The sequence below is a fragment of the Homo sapiens genome, chromosome 9, assembly GCF_000001405.40.
Source record: "Homo sapiens chromosome 9, GRCh38.p14 Primary Assembly".
Taxonomy (NCBI): domain Eukaryota; kingdom Metazoa; phylum Chordata; class Mammalia; order Primates; family Hominidae; genus Homo; species Homo sapiens.
Window position 1 is genome coordinate 120,499,309 of NC_000009.12, and position 19,341 is coordinate 120,518,649.

The following is a 19,341-nucleotide window of genomic DNA, read 5'->3' on the forward strand; positions in this document are numbered from 1 at the left end:
TGGGAGACAAACACATAGGGGTTCAATGTACTATTCTCTCTCCTTTTGTGGGTATTTGAATTTTCCATAATGAGCAGGGGTTTTTTTTTTAAAGGTACTTATTAGAAACCTGCAAGAAGTATCAGAACACATGATTATAGATGATTTTTTTAATTGTGTTATTCTTTTCTTAATTTTAAAATATTTCACACTAAGCAGACACTACATTCATAATTGGTAAAGTAACATTTTTTTAAATGCTTTAAAAATTGTTAATTTTTTTCTTGGGCAAAAAGATGATGATGAGATTGCCCTAAACCTTTACTCCAAACAGCCAGACCAAGAACCTATCATGAATTATAAATGGCAGTAAATAGAAATTCAATTCTGGAGAAGGAAAGAAAGGGTTTTTTATATTATTATACAAATGATACTAAAGCAACATTAACAGAATTCTAAAGCTAAAGAACAAAAACATTCCCCCAAAATACAGTCATGGCAATATATTAAACCATTTTCAAACAGTAGGTGCTCCTTTCAGTTCTTGTCCATCTGCAGCCCTAATTTTTATACAGTTTTTAAGTTTGGTATGGACTTTACCCCATTTCACTTTACTCCATTATACTATATGGCCTACAAAGAGCATAGAGCAATTAATTAATGATAACATAAAAGAACAATTAAACAAAAAGAAAAGTTTAAGAGAATAAAGTCAAGAAAAGTTTTTTGTTTTGTTTCATTTAAAGTACAGAGATGAGAATGGTCTAGAGAGCTGCTATAATACGGAGCTTCCAACTTGGCTCTGCTCATCCTTTTAGTCTAAAGGAAAGGCGGGACAGGTGGCGAGGCAGTGCCTAAAGTGAAAGATACCACATGATCGTTATGCTGACCAATTTTAATGCATATCTCTTAGGTCACTTAACTACTTTCCCACTGTCACCAACTGTTTGCTAGTACAGAAAATACAAAAAGGAAGAGCTGTGAGCATAAAACAAGTTTTTTTTTTCTAACTTCTGATTTGTTTTCTTAGGCTAAATCCCCAAAAGTAGAATTACTAGGCCTAAGGGTAAGCATGTTTTCAGAATTCTTTCTACAATGTGACAAACTTCCTTCCAAAAACACAGTGGCAAAAATGCAATCACCAAGTGGGAGTTTTTTGTTGCACCACATCCTCACCAGCACTGATATTTTCTTAAATGTTTGCTAATTTAATTGGTATAAAAAGGTTCTTCACAAGTGTTTGAATTTGCATTCTTTGATTGCCAATCATGCTTCTATATATTTGACTATTGTTTGAATTTCTCCTTGTGCAAATTGTCCTTGTGGGCCATGAATGAAAATAGTTTCAAGGAGAGTCATAATGAAAAGCTGATCTCTCAAGAATCACCCAAGGTGTACATACACAAACATACACACATAAGCTCATTTTCCCCCTACATTACAAAATCTACCAGGGCAAGGTCTAGCTACCATACTAATGCCATTAGAGAAGAGGCTGATTATGAGGGTTCACCTTTCAAATGGATATCATCATGTTTTTGCCTTCCTGATTGTGTTTTGCTGGCCGGTGACTGCTCAGAAACAGTCAATACAACCAGGGCCAGAAGAGCGGCTGTGGCTAAAGAACGGGTACTGAGTGGAGTAAGGGGGGGCCTGGGAACTCCCATACCTGAAAATTCCTACACCTGGGAGCTCCCACATCCGGGTTCTATTAATAATAGATGCTACTGTGTGTCAAGCACCTACCATTGTTCCAGGCAAGGTGCTAGACACTTTCATAATGAGGCATTTACTCTTCACAACATACGATGGCCCACAAGGCCCCCATCAGCTAGACCCCCCTGACCTCGCTGCCCTCTTCTCCTGTGGCTCTCCGCAGCCAGTTCTGCTCCAGCAACCCTGGCTGTCTTGCCGTTCCTCTTACACACCAGGTCAGAGCCCTTAAGCCTGCTGCTCTACCTGGAAAGTTCTCCAGGTTGCTCCCTTACTTTCTTCAAGTGTGTGCTCAGCCATCATCTTCTCAGACCAGTCTTCCCTGACCATCCACCTTACTCTCCATATTCCTTCCCTTCACCACTTGCCCCATGGAACCTCCTAATATAGTATTTAATTTATATGTGTATTTTGCTTGCAGTTTTCCCACCAGAATGCAAGTTCCATGAGGGCAGGGAATTTTGTGTATTTTGTTTGCTGCTATATCTCCAGCACCTAGAATGGTACCTGGCACATAGCAGACACTGTGGCAGATTAAACATAGCCATAAATTATTTGACTTCCCTTCCATCAAGAGGTGTGGAGTCTATGTCCCCTCCTATTGAATCTGGGCAGCATAGCACCTGCTGTGACCATGAGAATACGGCAGAAGTGACACTATGTCAGTTTCTGTTCTTTCCAGCCATCCCCGACAAGGTACCAGACATATGAGTGAAGAATCATGGACCCTCCAGTCCACCCCATCCACCAGCTGAAGACCATGAGTAACCTGGGCCACATGGAGCAGAATACCCAGCTATGCCCTGCCCAAGTCCTTGGCTCGCAAACTCATTAGGTATAATGAAATGATTGTTGTTTTGGGGTAATTTGTTATGCAGCAATAGATATCAAGGAAAGCACTCAATAAGCATCTGTTGGATGACTGAATAAATTAAGGAATGAGATGGATGGGACTGCTCCCATTTTATGAATGAGGAAACAGGCTGAGACAGGTAATTTGCCTAAGATCACAGTCACCAAGGGACAGCACCTGCCTTATTCCAGGTCTCTCTCATTCCAAATCTTCTCAGTTCGCCTCCACACCATGGTTTAGATCTCTTTTGCATGACTCACTAACACAATGATCCCAGTCCACTTAACGTATATCTAATACTCACTTTTAGAAATCTTCCCCTGAAAAATGCTGTGAAGAATAACTATAAAACCTGTGTTAAGCCAGCCATTTAGGTACACCTTTAAATTCACAATAAATGTGTATGTCATCCTAGAAAGATCGTGCACACCCGTTAATTCTAAAAATGTTCACGTATCATGCTGAGTAAAGAGTGTGCACTTTTCCTGTGCACAGTAATTACAGGTCCACTTACCTCATTTCCGAGATTCAGTTTCCTCCTCTATACAAACGACTATCAGAACCATATTTTGATGTCTGGTTCAAGTTCCAGTGTATGTATGTGTATTCAGCAACCATTTATTCCATGCTCCTTTTAATTTCCTTTTAATTTTTAATTCAGCTACCTAGGTTAAGAACGTCTTACACGGCTTAAGCAATAAGGGCTACTAACGTGCCACATTTCTCCCACAAATCCCCTAACAGAGTTGACAACGTGAAAATGACCTGTTACAGAATTCCACAAAGGACATGTAGTTTTGTCATTCCCCAAGATTTGTAGTTTTGTCATTCCCCAAGATTAGGAGTTCTTAACCTAAGGTCCATTGACTGGGCCAGGGATCCTATGCAAATTTGTATGCGTGTACATTTGCGGTCGGGGGTCAGGTAGAAGGCCCACAGCATCAACAGAACCTTGGGGAAAGTTAGGATACCAAAGAGTATAGACCGCTTCTCTTATTTTACTCATTAGTTATGGAAACCACCATTTACTGAGCACCAGCTATGAACCAAACACAGGCCAAGGCATTTTTACACAAAACATCTCAAACCCTAATGACTGCCTACATGGTAAGTATTATTAGTCCTGTTTTTACAGAAAGAGAACTAAGGCCCACAGAGGTTGAGATATTTTCACAAAGCTTTACAAAAGCTCTAGTAAGTTCTAGTGCTGAAATCCAAACCCCAGTCAGTGTGACCCCAAATTCTGTGCTTTTTCCACCCAAATGTGCTATTGTTAAGGCTAAAGAAAACATAAAACCACTCTGTGACATAGGCTTCCACTAGCCAATAATTTCAATACCTGAAATTAATTTATCATTTCTTAAGGACTTGGATTGATGGACTCTCTAGCCTGAGACTGAGGCCCTCCTTCTAATGAATGGGGCAGAACCAAGCACCTTCAACCTCATATGAAGAGCAGTCAAAGAAAGTTTAAAGCAAAATGACCATAGGGGGAGGGCAGGTTTGTGTGCAGAGATGGCCCTGAAGAAGAGTGCTGCCATGGCAACACAAAGACAGCAGACAGGCTCATGCACTTGCCACCAGTGGGGTTCTAATAAATGTTTTGGGGAGGCATGGAGATGGCATGTCTTGCCTGAGTACAACAATCAGAACTGAAAATTGATCATCTTGGGTGGTTTTTCCAAACCTCCTTCGATATTCCTGGACTGTGAAAACAGACAGCCCTAGTCTTGAATCCTGCCTCTACTGCTAACTGGCAGTGTGACCAGAGATGGATAACTTAAATCTTTCTGAGTGTTTCCTTTCCGGTAAATGAAGACAATAATGCAAACTCCCAGGGTCCTTGGAGGTCTGGAGGAGAGAATGCACAATGGGAGCCCAGCACAGAAGCTAATGCAGAGCAAATGAAGCCGTGTCACCTCTCTCTGTCCCCACATACAACCCCCAGACTGATCCTCACTACCCGGTTTCCTCACATGGCCATGGCATCACCACCACCACCACCACCCCACAACAAGGTTCAGCTCTTGCCCCTCCCTCTCACAGGCATCTTGTCATCCAACAGTTAACCCAGGCCTTAAGGTGTGGCACGCCCTCAACACAGAGCACCTGGGAGATGAAAAGCGAGGATTTGGTGCTTTTCATGGCCAAGAGTGTCCAAATCCTACCCTGTCAATCACTCCTGCTATCCCCAGAGTTCTCAAAGGAGTTATACACAACAATAGCAGAATGGGGAATCAAAGTACAATTCTGTGACAATTTCATATCCAGATAAGTGCTTTCTGATAAAATTAAGGGTTTGGGGTAGTTGATGTTGTTACTGTTTGGGAAAAGGGAGGGTGTGTGCAGCTTAGGGAGCTGCCCAGGTTCTCTTATTCAAGTAGAAGTAGAAGTGCACAAAGATGACTGATGAGGAAATGAGGGAGTTGGCCTGCCCAGCAAAGACTAGGCCTGGCTACATCTGGAGCAGGAAAGCAAAAGAATCTGGAACTTGGGTTCTTATAACTCACCCATTAACAAGAATGGCCCCCAAAATATCCTGAACTCTCATCACTCAGATTAGTAACTCCTCCCTCCTTAATTATAAAGGAAGAAGGGTAGAAGCTGCAGTACTAAGAAAGGTATTCCTCCCGCCAGACAGCTCCCTACCCCGCATCCCACTGCCTCTGCCTTCTTCAGAACTCAGCTCCCAGCCAGTCAGCTGCAACAGCTTCCTAACTGGTCTTGCTGCTTCTGGGTTCACCCCACTAAACCACATGTAGACCTCTGATCATTACGTCTCTGCTCGGCATCCTTCATTGACTCCAAGTTAACTGCAGAATGAAGCTACCCTACGAGGAGTCTACTCAAGGCTCCTACTAGTGGGCTTCAGCTTACGTTTCAGCTTTATCTGCAACCAGTCCCCTTCATCCAACCACTTCATTAACATACTTTCAGGCTCTCTGCCTGTATCTACCAGTCCCCTCCACCTGGAAAAAGTACAAATTCCCTCCAGTTCCACCTAGAGAAAGCATGCTATCCTTCAAGGCCCAATTCAAGTGCCATCTCTTCCACAAGGCCCAATTTGATTACTCAGGCCATCACCAATCATCCTCATAAAATACCACCCAACATTTTCTTCTATAAACTCTATGACATTTAGGAGAGTGCTGGGCACTTTACCCATCACCTCACTCAACTCTCACAACCCTATGAAGCAGGTACAGGCATAGCTCATTTCATTGTGCTCTGCTCTACTGCACTTCACAGAGATTTTGTATTTTACAAATTCAAGGTCTGCAGCAACCCTGCATCAACCAAGTCTGTCAGCATCACTTTTCCAACAGCATGTGTTCATTTCGTGTCTCTGTGTCGCCTTTTGGTAATTCTTGCAATATGTCAAACTTTTTCACTATTAGTATCTGTTATGGTGATCAGTGATCTTTGATATTCCTATTCCAGTTGTTTGGCAGTGCCTCAAATCACACCCATATAAGACGGCAAACTTAACGGATAAAAGTGTATTCCAAGAGCTCCACCAACTGGCCATTCCCTGTCTCCTTCCCTCTCCTCATGCCTCCCTATGCCCTATGATACAACAAAATTGAAATTAGGCCAGTGAATAACCCTATAATGGCTTCTAAGTATTCAAGTGAAAGGAAGAGTCACATGTCTCTCACTTTTTAAATCAAAAGCTAGAAATGATTAAGCTTAGTGAGGAAGGCATGTCAAAAGTCAATAGAGCCAAAAGCTAGGCCTCTTGCACCAGTTAGCCAAACTGTGAATGCAAAGAAAAAATTCTTGAAGGAAATTAAAAGTGCTACTCCAGTGAACACATGAATGGTAAGAAAGCTAAACAGCCTTGCTGATATGGAGAAAGTTGTGGTCTGAATAGATCAAACCAGTCACAATATTCCCTTAAGCCAAAGTCTAATCCAGAGCAAAGCCTTAACTCTCTTCAATTCTATGAAAGCTAAGAGAGGTGAAGAAGCTGCAAAAAGAAAAAACAAAAATTGAAGCTAGCAGAGGTTGGTTCCTGAGGTTTAAGGAAATAAGTCATCTAAGTAACATAAAAGTGTAAGGTAAAGTTACAAGTGCTGATGTAGAAGCTGCAGTAAGTCATCCAAGAGATCTAAGATAACTGATGGAGGTAGCTACACTAAACAGGTTTTCAATGCAGATGAAACAGCCTTACATTGGAAGAAGATGCCATCTAGGAGTTTCATAGCTAAAGAGGAGCAGTCAATGTCTGGCTTCAAAACTTCAAAGGACAGGGTGACTTCCTTATTAGGGGCTAATGCAGCTGGTAACTTTAACTGGAAGCCAGTGCTCACTTATGATTCCAGAACTCCTTAAAAATTATGCAAAATCTACTCTATCTGTGCTCTACAATGGAACAACAAAGCCTAAATGACAGCACATCTGTTTACGGCATGGTTTACTGAATATTTCAAGCCTACTGTTGAGACCTACTGTTCAGAAACAAAGATTCCTTTAAAAATATTACTGCTCATTGACAATGCACCTGGTCATCCAAGAGCTCTGATGGAGATGTACAAGAAGATGAATGTTGTTTTCATGCCTGCTAACACAACATCCATTCCGCAACCCACAGATCAAGGAGTAATTTTAACTTTTCAAGTCTTTAAAAAATACATCTGTAAAGAGTGATTCCTCTGATGGATCTGGGCAAAGTAAATGGAAAACCTTTTGGAAAGGATTCATCATTCTAAATGCCCTTAAGAACATTTGTGATTCATGAGAAGGGTCAAAATACCAACATTACAGGAGTTTGGAAGAATTTGATTCCAACCCTCATGGATGACTTTGAGGGATTCAAGACTTTACTTCACTGCTAATGTGGTGGAAATAGCAAGAGAACTAGAAGTGGGGTCTAAAGATGTGACTGAATTGCTGCAATCTCATGATAAAGCTTGAACAGATACGGAATTACTTCTTATGAATGGGCAAAGAAAGTAGTTTGTTGAGATGGAAACTTCTCCATCTCAAGATGCTGTGAACATTGTTGAAATGACAACAAAAGACTTAGAATATTATGTAAACTTAGTTGATAAAGCAGTAGCAGGGTTTGAGAGGACTGACTCCAGTTTTGAAAGAAGTTCTACTGTGGGTAAAATGCTACAAACAGCATTACATGCCATAGAGAAATATTTTGTGAAAGGAAGAGTTAATCAACGTGGCAAACTTCATTCTTGCAGCAACCACCACCCTGATCAGTCAGCAGCCATTAACATTGAGGCAAGACCTTCCACCAAGAAAGATTACAACTAGCTGAAGGTTCTGATGATCATTAGTATTTCTGGCAGTATTTTTAATTCAGGTATGTATGTTGTTATTTTAGATGTAATGCTGTTGCACACATAATAGGCCACAGTATAGTGTTAACATAACTTTTATATTCACTGGAAAACCAAAAAATTCGTAAGACTCGCTTTATTCCAATCCCTAATATCTCCTGAGGGACGTCTGTACCTTAATTATACCCATTTTACCAATCAGAAAACTGAAGTTCAAAGACTTCAAGCAACTTAACCAAAGCAACATAGGTAAAAAATAGTAGAAGCAGGATTTGAAACCAGGTCTACCTGCATTCTTTTTACTCTACCAGTGGTTTTACAAGCCAAATCCAAGAAGCTCTAGGATTAGGAATACCCAAACCTGGTTGGATATCAGTACCCTCTAACTACATGTTCTTGGGCCTTCCTCTAGAAATTGACTCAGTAGCTTAGGGAAGACCACAGAAAATTATATTTTATTTCAATAAAAAAAGCCACCATCCTAAGGAATCTGCAGAGCCCCCCGGGTGCATCTGTTTTATTTGCTTCTGAACAAAGGGTTTACACAGGAAAAAAAAGAACCCTATCCTACACCAGACTACTGCCTTGATTTAAAGTTAGTGCTGCCACAGCAAGACCTGTATGATGATGTCAACTAATGGCCTCAATTTCTACACTAATGGGCAATTTTCCCTTAAGATTCACAGGTGCACTCTGGACCAGCACTGGGCTGAGAGCTGCCTCTGCATGGCAGGGTTCTCTTAGAGCAGACTGGCTGATTAAAAAAAAAAAAAAAAAAAAAAAAAAAAAAAAATATATATATATATATATATATATATAGTGGATTGTTTGAAAAATAACATGTTCTAAAATCTTAGAATCACATTAGAAATGAAAAGCCAAGCCCTCACACTTCCTCCTCCAGCCAGCTAGTTTTGTTTTATCTCTGGCCAGATGGAGAATGAGAAGGTTCTCATCCATCAAATTTCCACCTTATCAGGTTTCACTGCGAGAAAGCTTGTCAAAGTGCTCAGTGGTTACCTTTAAATATACAAAGGAAATTTCTCCACAATCTTAATGAGGAAGAGATACTCTGTGATGTAAGGAGAATTTCCAGAATTAGTAGGTGAGAGCACTGTTCAAGCCACGTTTTGTGGAGCCTCATTGCTCCTGCAGGCTGTGGCGGAAACAGATGATGTGTGGAGGTGGGTGCCAGGCCTCCTACCTCACTTCACCCTGAGCAGCTCCACTTCTGTGTTTTCTCTCCATAACAGTTCATTCAAACAAATAATTCATATGCTGGGGGAAAAAAACTTAGAGGCCACCAGAATGAAACAGTCCTTGGCATACAGAACTAACAAACATGTGCCTCACCTAACAGTATGGTGCTAGCTGTGATGACTGCACAAGTTCTGAGCAAAGGGCTTGATGTAGCTTTCACCAGTTGCCCCCTTCTCCAGCCCCACTCACTGTTCCCCATGAGCCAGGCTCATTCATGGACCCCAAACCTTGGCACAGGCCTTCCTGCTACCAGGAATGCATTCCCACCTCCCATTCCCCCAGGCAAACAGCTACCTATCCTTCAAGTCTCAGCTCAAATCCACTTCCTCTGTGAAGCCTTCCCTCCCTCCCTCTCTGGTCTATTAGCACAGTTCCATTCTTTGTGCTTCCAAAGCATTCGGTCCATTCCACTATCAGGACTTATCATGCTATATTTTAATTAGCTCTTTGTATTTCTATGCTATTTCTTCACTAGATTCCTTCAGAGACTGTGTATGATTTTATTCGGTCCTGTACTCCTAGTGCCCAGGACAGAGCCTGGCACAGAAATGATAAAATGAGAGGGTGACATAAGGGAAAGTCTCCCTGTTTGTGCCCCATGGAGATTACAGCAATTCCATATAAAAACTGTTGGGGACAGCCTTTTAAAACAGCTTTAACAGCAGCCCCAGGTATGAGCCACTGAGATTCTCCAGAGTTTCTCAATAGCAGAGCGCTCCGACTCCCTTCTTATAGGGATCAATCAGCTGGAAAGGAACAGACAAGCACTTTCTTCAGAGGAGAGGTTACTATTGATCAAGGAAGAAATTTATAGCTTTGGTGACTTGGCTGGTAAAAGGGCAGACAACATTTATTAATCAACACCGTCTGGTAGATTCTAGCAGGTGATGGTTTGTCATTCAAAGTCCTGAGCCAGCACCTGCCACACAATTAAAAGCAGGAAAACAGGAAAGAAAAGAAGGAATCGGATACACTGAGCATCAACTTCTCTGTGCCAGGAACCACGGTAGGCATTTTCTCACACATTACATTTTACTATTCATTTGTTTAATCCTAAAATAGATATCATCAACCCCACTTTAGGGGAGTGAACATAAGTTTAATGAGTTTAAGCTGTTGGCTTAGAAGTTAAGCACTTGTAAGTGAAGCTGAGATTGCAACCCAAGTTGAGAACTATTTTCCACTATTCCAAAGATGGCCACTGAAATTGCTACGTTTCTAGTGCCCGAGGCCAAGGCATCATCATCAAAATAGCTACCAATTATTGCTCATTTATGATGTGTCAAGTATTATGCTAAGTGTCACTCCCTCTCTCAGATAAACCTAACAACTAATCGCTATTATTCTGATAAGAAATGGGCATACTATGGTTCGAAGAGGCAAACTTGCTGGTTCACAGTTCAACAACTAGTAAGTAATGGAGCCAGGACTCCAAACCAGTTTGACTCGTGTTTCTGGCTTCAGGCTTCTTCCAACATAGGTCATTTAAACTGCACATTATTCTATAAAGAGACCAACTCAAAACTTTCACACCTAATACACACACACACACACACATATATATACATTTTTTTTTAGGGCAAGAGGAGCTTTGGCCATTAGTAAAAAATATAGTACCTCAGATCTGTGGTCTTAGCCCTAACCAACCAGCCTGTAGAGACACTGTCTCCAAATGCCATGTTTTGATTCTGATTTACCAAGAGATGTTCTAAATGCTGTCACAATCTCATTTGGAGATATCCATCAATGAGTACATGTGAGAACTGGGAGGTTCAGGCTGAACTACCCTGAAATTAAACCCACTCCTGTCAAAGCACATGGGATTAGCCAGCTGGGTGACCGGTACGACTTTAATTAGATTTTTGGGCTTTAGCCAGCAAATGCATCCCCACAGAGCTAAGGGCCCAGGTACTGAAGCACACACTTGTCAGGGTAGCGGATGACGGGTCTCATAACAGATGAAAGCATTCTGAAATAGTCTGGGGAATATGGCCAAGGCAATGTCTAATATATGTTGCTTATAAAGGAGAACAAAAAAACCTTAGCTTGCTTCTCTCCCACACCCACCCTGAGTAGAATACCAAGCGCCTGAACCAGAGAGAGTGCACCTAAAATAAAGATTTCCCTCACCCTTCACCAAACACACACATTCATGCACATGTGCACACTCACACACACTAAAAGGAGAGCCCAGGTTTCTGGGCTCTGACAATGTATCAAACTCAGATGTATGAAGGCAGAGATGTGAGGATCCAAGCAGCATCCCTGTTACCAACCTCAAGAGTAGGACACTTTAAACATCCCAGTTAGGGCATAGACTTGGGAACACTGGGTTTTTTGTTTGTTTTTGCAAAGGTCTCCTGAGTTTCCTTCAAGGGATATGGGCCCCTTTGGCAGCAGGGAGGTATACTACAATACAGGGGACCTATCTGTGATCCTCACTTTTTCACCTTCTTCACTGTAAATAAGACTACCAAAGTAAAAACCAAAGCTTGTATTCATCAGAGCCTAACAATATCATTACAAGTACTCAATAAATGTGTTGAATAAATAAAAAACTGCAAATTACAACACATGCTGAGTCAACCGGCACTAGGTCACTGCAATCACAGGCAATTAAAACAAACAAACATGGAGAACTGACTCTCGGGGCTCAACTTCTCAGTGTTCGTGCACAATGAGACACAGTGAATTCATAAGCCTCTGATCCAAGCTCAATTTTCAGCAGAAGAATTGCCTCCCTACAAAATGCTAAAGAAGAGGCACAATGAGACTGGCAATAAATGTTGTTGGCATGAGCAAAGGATGGTTTGATCATATCCAAGAGTAATGGTTGGCTTACCATCAAAATTCAAGAACGCTACAAAAACCAGGACTGCTTGATCTGGATCCTGTACATAGGATTTAGGTCAGGGCTCATCTGTAAAACAGGGCTGCAGCATTTCTAACTGATTTTGTAGTTCTTGTCCAAGAAAAGAGAATAATGGGAAACAGCTAGATATAGTCCCAGGGACTGAAAAGCTTCTACTTTCAAGCTTACTGACTTGGATAACATTGATCTGGCCCCATGCAGAATTGCTTTTGTTGAATGGGGTATTGTTGAAGATGCTATAAACTGCTCAAAGTACTCTTTATAAAAGCTCACCAGAGGCAATTCTTTCCTTGGGCCTCAGTGCCAGCAAAAGCTGTCCTTTTACTTGACATGTTCATCTTACAGACACTGCAGACCTTGTAACTGATTTTCTCTTTTTGCTTTCCCTGCCAGGAGCTACCAGTTGAATTGTAAGTCCCCCTCTTTAGCACTGTGAAGGATATCACAACATGCTTTTTTTTTTTTTTTTTTTTTTGAGACAGTCTCGCTCTGTCGCCCAGGCTGGAGTGTAGTGGCACGATCTCAGCTCACTGAAACCTCTGCCTCCCAGGTTCACGTGATTCTCCTGCCTCAGCCTCCCAAGTAGCTGGGACTACAGGTGTCTGCCACCACACCCAGCTAATTTTTGTATTTTTAGTCGATACAGGATTTCACCATGTCGACCAGGCTGGTCTTCAACTCCTCACCTCAGGTGATCCACCCACCTCGGCCTCCCAAAGTGCTGGGATTACAGGCGTGAGCCACCGCGCCCGGCCACAATGTGCATTTTTATATACTCACTCTGGGCCACGGGCAGTGGCTCACACCTATAATCCTAACACTTTGGGAGGCCAAGGTAGAAGGATTGCCTGAGGCCAGGAATTCAAGACCAGTCTGGGCAACATAGCAAAACCCTTTCTCTACAAAAATTTAACAAATTAGCCAGGTGTGGTAGTGCATGTCTATAGTCCCAGCTACTCAGGAGGCTGAGTCAGGAGGATTACTTGAGCCTGAAGGTTTAAGGCTGCAGTGAGCTAGGATCGTGCCACTACACAACAGCCTGAGTGACAGAGTGAGACCCTGTCTCAAATGAATTAATTAATTAAAATACTCACTCTACTTCCATTTTGCTAGTCACTTTTATTTTTCCTGAACCCTAAAGCCTTTATTTTTAATTTCATTTAATCTTATGACTTTCTATAAACCTCTGCAAGTATTTCTGAAACACAAAAAGGAACAAATTACAATGTTTACAGCTTCAATTAGCCAGAATACTTCAAGTTGGGTGTTCTTGAGAATGTATTATTCTGGTCTGTTGAAAAGCTGAAAATATACCAATCTTCCTTTCTGCCAAAAGCACAGTATTCTCAACATAATTACTGACGGTTTGGCATAGCAACAGCGTAGTATCTTAGCAAAGTCCTGAAATTAGATAGAGTCCATAGACCTGAATCCATGTCACATATATATCACCTTCTATGTAACGACGGCTGAGCAGTGTAAATTCTGAGGCACAGATTAATCTGTAAAATGGGAAAAACATTTTCTATGCCCAAACCCAGGGCTGGGAGCATCACGCGGGCACACAGGCAATCTTTGTAAACTGTAAAGTACAATCTACACCTGAGGATCATACCTGCTTTATTTCTACCACTCTGAATAGCAGTTTTCATTACCAAAGAGGACAATGAGGATTGAGCTGAATGTGAATTGAGAACAAGACCTGTATTTTGGACATTGTTCTTACCAACGTTTTCTTTATCCTACCTGTGGGATGCAGCAAAATTTGAGTAAACATGAGAGGGACCCAAAGCTGAACATCCTAGAGTCCTCGTGGATGAAGCATTGAATACGCACCAAGTCAAGCCCCAGAAGCTACACCTGAGCATCCCCATTACAGAGAAACAGGTTCCTTTTCTTTTTCCCCTATAACCCTGACCTCTCAGAGCCTGACTTACATGTTAAGGAAAAGCCTTTTCCCATCTTGTTTCCTGGCTTTCCCTCAGCAATCCATCCTCTAGACATCCATCAGACTAGTCTTTCTAAACTGCAAATCTGATCCTGTCAATCCTCTGACTGGCATAGCCAACCCTACCCCACCAGGGGCCCCCTGCCTACACCTCAAGTCCAGGCTCCCAAACTGCATCCAAGGCTCTCCACAAGCCAACTTCTCTCGGGTTAATCTCCTGACACATCCCTAGAGGAACCACCCTTTACTGCAGCCCCAAACTCTTCTTCCCCAAAATCACCATACCCTCTCCCACCTCTAAACCTTAGCCTTCTATACAAAACCTTCCTCTCCCTTGCCTATCTATTAACCTCTAGCTCAAACTTCAGAACCAGTTCAAAAGTTACTTTCCCCAGGAGCCTGCTCTGGTCCTGCAAGCCACTTCCTTTCTCTGTGCTCCTGTGGTTGTTTCTTCATGTCTCTATTATGGAATTTTCTCCTTGTCTAGTAGAGGGCTTGCACAAAGTGTTCAATGTTGCTGAATGTATGAATGGATTCCTTTCTTTTGCCAGGACAGAAACAGAGACCACTAAAAGGTCTAGGTTTTTCTGTCTGTTTCAATCCAAAAGCAACACCTGTAGCAGCTGGTGAGTAGGAGGCACTCCAGTTAAATAAGGAGCCTAGTTACCAGAAACAAGCTGGTAAGCTATGCAAGGCTAGTGTGTTATGCTCCACCTGTACATTTATCCTAGCACCATAATGCAAAGACACCACCCCACCATGTTTCCTCAGGCTCTGAGTAAGCCAGTACTTCCAAGACCTGGTATAAAACAGTCATGTGAGATGGACACATCAAATTCATAGACTATAAGCAAAAGTTAACTAGAGATACAACTGTGATGCAACATCTGTGCAAAAAAAGGAAACCACGGCCAAATCATCTTGTTGGAAACATGTATGTAACTTGATGTGTAAAGGTAGTCACGATGAGATGCCAGGAAGCCTGAGTCACTGGCATGTTCACCTGAGGACAGCACTTAGAGTATACAGCTGCTTTTGGTCTGCCCAGTGCCCTGAAACAAAATACCACTTTTTCTGGGTACCCGCTCATCCCCTTCCAAACATGTGGTTCTAGGGAGGCTGCCAATGATGTTATACACACGCACACACACACACACCCTTCTGCCAAGGCACAATAAGCATGTGACCCAAATTGGGATTCTCAGTACATCACCCGTCTGGCCATCCTGACAAGAAACCAGCCAGGGCAGCAAAGTGTGGGAGTTCTTCTTCCTCTTCTGCAGTAAATCGGGAAGATGTGATCCCAGCGTGGCTGGCAATGAGTCCAGCCACTTGGAACTGTAGTATGGATGCAAGAAAAAGAAGCCAGCTCTCAGAGAGAGAGTCTGCTCCTGGTAGTGTTCCAGTGCCCCGTCCTTCCAGCAGTTTAGTTACACAAGGCAATCAAGTTCCCTTTCTGCCAAACTTAGTTCAAGCTAGGTTTCTACCACTCACAAGAAAGTCCTACCCATAGTATACTCACCCCAATCCCTGCCCTATTGCCATCATAGTCCCCTTCCACTCCTTCCCAAATACCTCCATATGAAGACGTATACATGTTATGTAGCAATACATCTTTTTATCCACAGCAGCCCAAAATTCTTCTAGAAGCACCAGAGTTTACATGAATAAGTAAATTATGAAACCAACAAATAATGTCTAACAACAGAGGTATACCTAAGAAAATTACAGTATATACGCTTGATGTAATGTTATACAGCAATTTCAAATGATTACAAAGACTAAGTTATGATATAAAAAAACTACATATTATATATTATCGAGAGAGACAGAGAGAGAGAGAGAGAGACAGAGTGTGTGTGTGTATCACCCCCTCATCCTCGGCCATCCAAATTTTACCAAACAAACATTATAATGGCAGTAAGGGATGAGGGATAATTGTTTTAAACTAAAAAAAAAGGTCATCTAATAGTGAAAGATACAAGAATTGACTATGAAACATGCAGCTCTATAAATGGACCCTCTGGCCAGCCTTTTCTTTACCTCATCTATATAAAGTCACACTACTCAAATCTCACCCCTTTCATTCTCAAGTGTCAGCCCCTCTTAGAAGATTTCCCTGACTACCACATCACACAGGATCTTTTGCATTGAGTACAGGTTATATTAATTAACTGTGGATTTTAAATTGTTTTGCATTTTGTCTTGTATAACATTTTCATCTCCCTTAGAAAAATAAAACTTTCAGGAGTTACGTATTGTAATTCCATCAGTATCTAAACCAGATACATTTTGTGTTCAATAACACTGAATAAAGATGAGAAACAGGTCTTTTAATAACATGCAATAAACTAGTGCACTCTAACATTGCTGGTGGCAGCATAAAATGGGCCAGCCTTTTGGACAAACAATTTGGCAACATAATTAACCAGTATAAAATATTGGCCAGGTGCCAACCCCATCAAAAAGTGGGCGAAGGATATGAACAGACACTTCTCAAAAGAAGACATTTATGCAGCCAAAAAACACATGAAAAAATGCTCATCATCACTGGCCATCAGATAAATGCAAATCAAAACCACAATGAGATACCACCTCACACCAGTTAGAATGGCGATCATTAAAAAGTCAGGAAACAACAGGTGCTGGAGAGGATGTGGAGAAATAGGAACACTTTTACACTGTTGGGACTGTAAACTAGTTCAACCATTGTGGCAGTCAGTGTGGCGATTCCTCAGGGATCTAGAACTAGAAATACCATTTGACCCAGCAATCCCATTACTGGGTATATACCCAAAGGACTATAAATCATGCTGCTATAAAGACACATGCACACGTATGTTTATTTCGGCACTATTCACAACAGCAAAGACTTGGAACCAACCCAAATGTCCAACAATGATAGACTGGATTAAGAAAATGTGGCACATATACACCATGGAATACTATGCAGCCATAAAAAAGGATGAGTTCATGTGCTTTGTAGATACATGGATGAAACTGGAAATCATCATTCTCAGCAAACTATTGCAAGGACAAAAAACCAAACACCAGATGTTCTCACTGATAGGTGGGAATTGAATAGCGAGAACACATGGACACAGGAAGGGGAACATCACACTCCGGGGACTGTTGTGGGGTGGGGGGAGGGGGGAGGGACAGCATTAGGAGATATACCTAATGCTAAATGACAAGTTAATGGGTACAGTACACCAACATGGCACATGTATACATATGTAACAAACCTGCACATTGTGCACATGTACCCTAAAACTTAAAGTATAATAATAAAAAATAAAAAATAAAAAATTTTGGCTAGGTGCAGTGTCTCACACCTGTAATCCCAGCACTTTCAGAGGCCAAGATGTGAAGATCACTGGAGACCAGGAATTTGAGACCAGCCTGGGCAACACAGCCAGACCCTGTCTCCACAAAAAATAAAAATTAAATTAGCTGGGCATGTTGGCATCCACCCAAAGTCCCAGCTACACAGGAGGGTGAGGCAGTAGGATCCCTTGAGCCCAGGAATTTGAGGCTGCAGTGAGTTATGAGCATGCCACCGCACTCCAGTCTAGGCAACACTGTGAAACTCTGTCCCAAAAAATATGTATGTACATATATACATAGGCACTATCTGACCCAGTAATCTCACTCCTCAGGATCTATCCTAGGGATTTCAAGAGAAAATATCCTTATGTCAAAAGATGTTCATTGTGTCATTATTTAAATAGCCAAAATGTCCAACAAAGGAGATTATTAAGTAAATCATGTGAAATCTATTCAGTGAAAGGGTATGCATCATAATTCAACATGATCGTTCTGGAGCCTACACCATGAGATGGTGCCTATGACAGACTAAGTGATCAAAGACAGAACAGTATTTAGCCTCTGATTAGACCAGGAGCCCAGGGGCATCAGGACTGAACGATAGTACAGAAAATCAGTAAGAGTTACTTTGCTAGGGTAGTGGAATTATAGCTACCATTTTCTAGTTTTTCTAGGTTTTCTTTATTGATCCATTAATGTTTGTTAAAATTTTATTAAAATATACAAACATTTGCATTTCAATTCTTTCTTCAGTGTTAACACTGGGATTTCACCTTCCGGATCCTGGTGTCCCTATCAGCAGCAGCCACCAGAGAACTAACCACTGGTACTCTTTTGAGTCCTCTACTCTAATGACTGCCTGGCCCAGGATCTCAGGCAGACAATTCAATTAACCTTCATGGCAATGATCACTCAGACCCAGACCCCAATCCTACCTGATTGCAACAAGGCTACGTATCTGGATGTGACTCTCAGGAGGGATTAAATTAAAAGACACTGAATATTTAAGTATAATTGAAATTTAATAAGTCTACCAAATTCAGAGAGGATTTTTAAATGCTAATACCCAATGCTAAATAGAGTACAGTCATAAAAAAGATCACCTAGAGAAACCTGATATAATCTTTCTGCAGAACAATTTGAATATATCTATACAACAGTCCTTAAAATATTCATACTCTTTGGCCCAGTTATTATACCTCTATCAGGAACAATCAGTGAGGTGGGCATGGTGGCATGTGCCTATAATCCCAGCTACTCAAGAAACTGAGGTGGGAGGATCACTTGAGCCCAGGAGTTCAGGAACAGCCCAGGAAACAGAGTGAGACCCTGTCTCAAAAAAAACAACAAAGAATCAGTGGATAAATATTTATGTACAAGGATGTTTGCTGCAGAAGTCATAAGGCAAAAAAAAAGTAAAATAATCTAAATGCCGTTCAAAAAAGAACTAGTTAAATAAACTGTAATACATCCAAGTGATGAAATATTATGCTGGCACAAAAAAAATTGTTTTTGAAGAACATTCATGACATGGCAACAAACCAGAGAGAGAACATTAAACTTAAAAAAGCACGATACAAAACTGTATTTTCAACTCGATAACAACTCTGTGTGTGTGTGTGTGTGTGTGTGTGTGTGTGTGTGTGTGTGTGTGAGAGAGAGAGAGAGAGAGAGAGAGAGAGAGAGCGAGGAGAATAAAAGGACTGAAATACCAAATAGATCAAATGAAGCTGGTCATTTCTAGGTACTGAGATAATAAGTGAAATATTTTCTTAAGTCTTCTGTACTGAATATCACCCTACAACCAGACACAGCCACATAGCCCCAAAAGCACTGTCCACTGTGTCAGAAGGGCAGGGCGGTACTCACACGGATGGTGCAGTCTCCTTTGCTCTTCTCTCGATGGGCTTCCTCCAGGTCCTTCTCCAGTCTCTCCCTCTCCTGCTGCAAGTCACTCAGCTCCTGGGTGATCTTCTTAATGCTTCTACGCAGTCTGTGGTTCTCTGTACTCTTGGTGAGGTTTTGTGAGCGCAGCGCAGCCGAAAGGGCTTCCTTTCCTGATAGAGCAGTCTCATAGTCTTCAGACCCCTAG

General features: G+C 41.7%; 1 protein-coding gene across 18 annotated transcripts in view; it reads right to left on the reverse strand.

Moving 5' to 3' along the window:
- CDK5RAP2 (CDK5 regulatory subunit associated protein 2) overlaps positions 1-19,341 on the reverse strand; it is a 191,293-nt gene that overhangs the window by 110,434 nt on the left and 61,518 nt on the right. For 17 of the 18 annotated variants that reach the window (NR_073558.2, NR_073554.2, NR_073555.2 and 14 more), the window contains one exon: positions 19,119-19,337. Coding sequence is in view for 13 of the 18 variants with exons in the window: in NM_001272039.2 (NP_001258968.1) it covers positions 19,119-19,337 (219 nt within the window). In the remaining 5 variants the exon portion in view is untranslated. Of the gene's footprint in view, positions 1-18,448; positions 18,579-19,118; positions 19,338-19,341 lie in introns of all 18 variants that reach the window. The other variant, NR_073556.2, reaches the window with a different exon arrangement.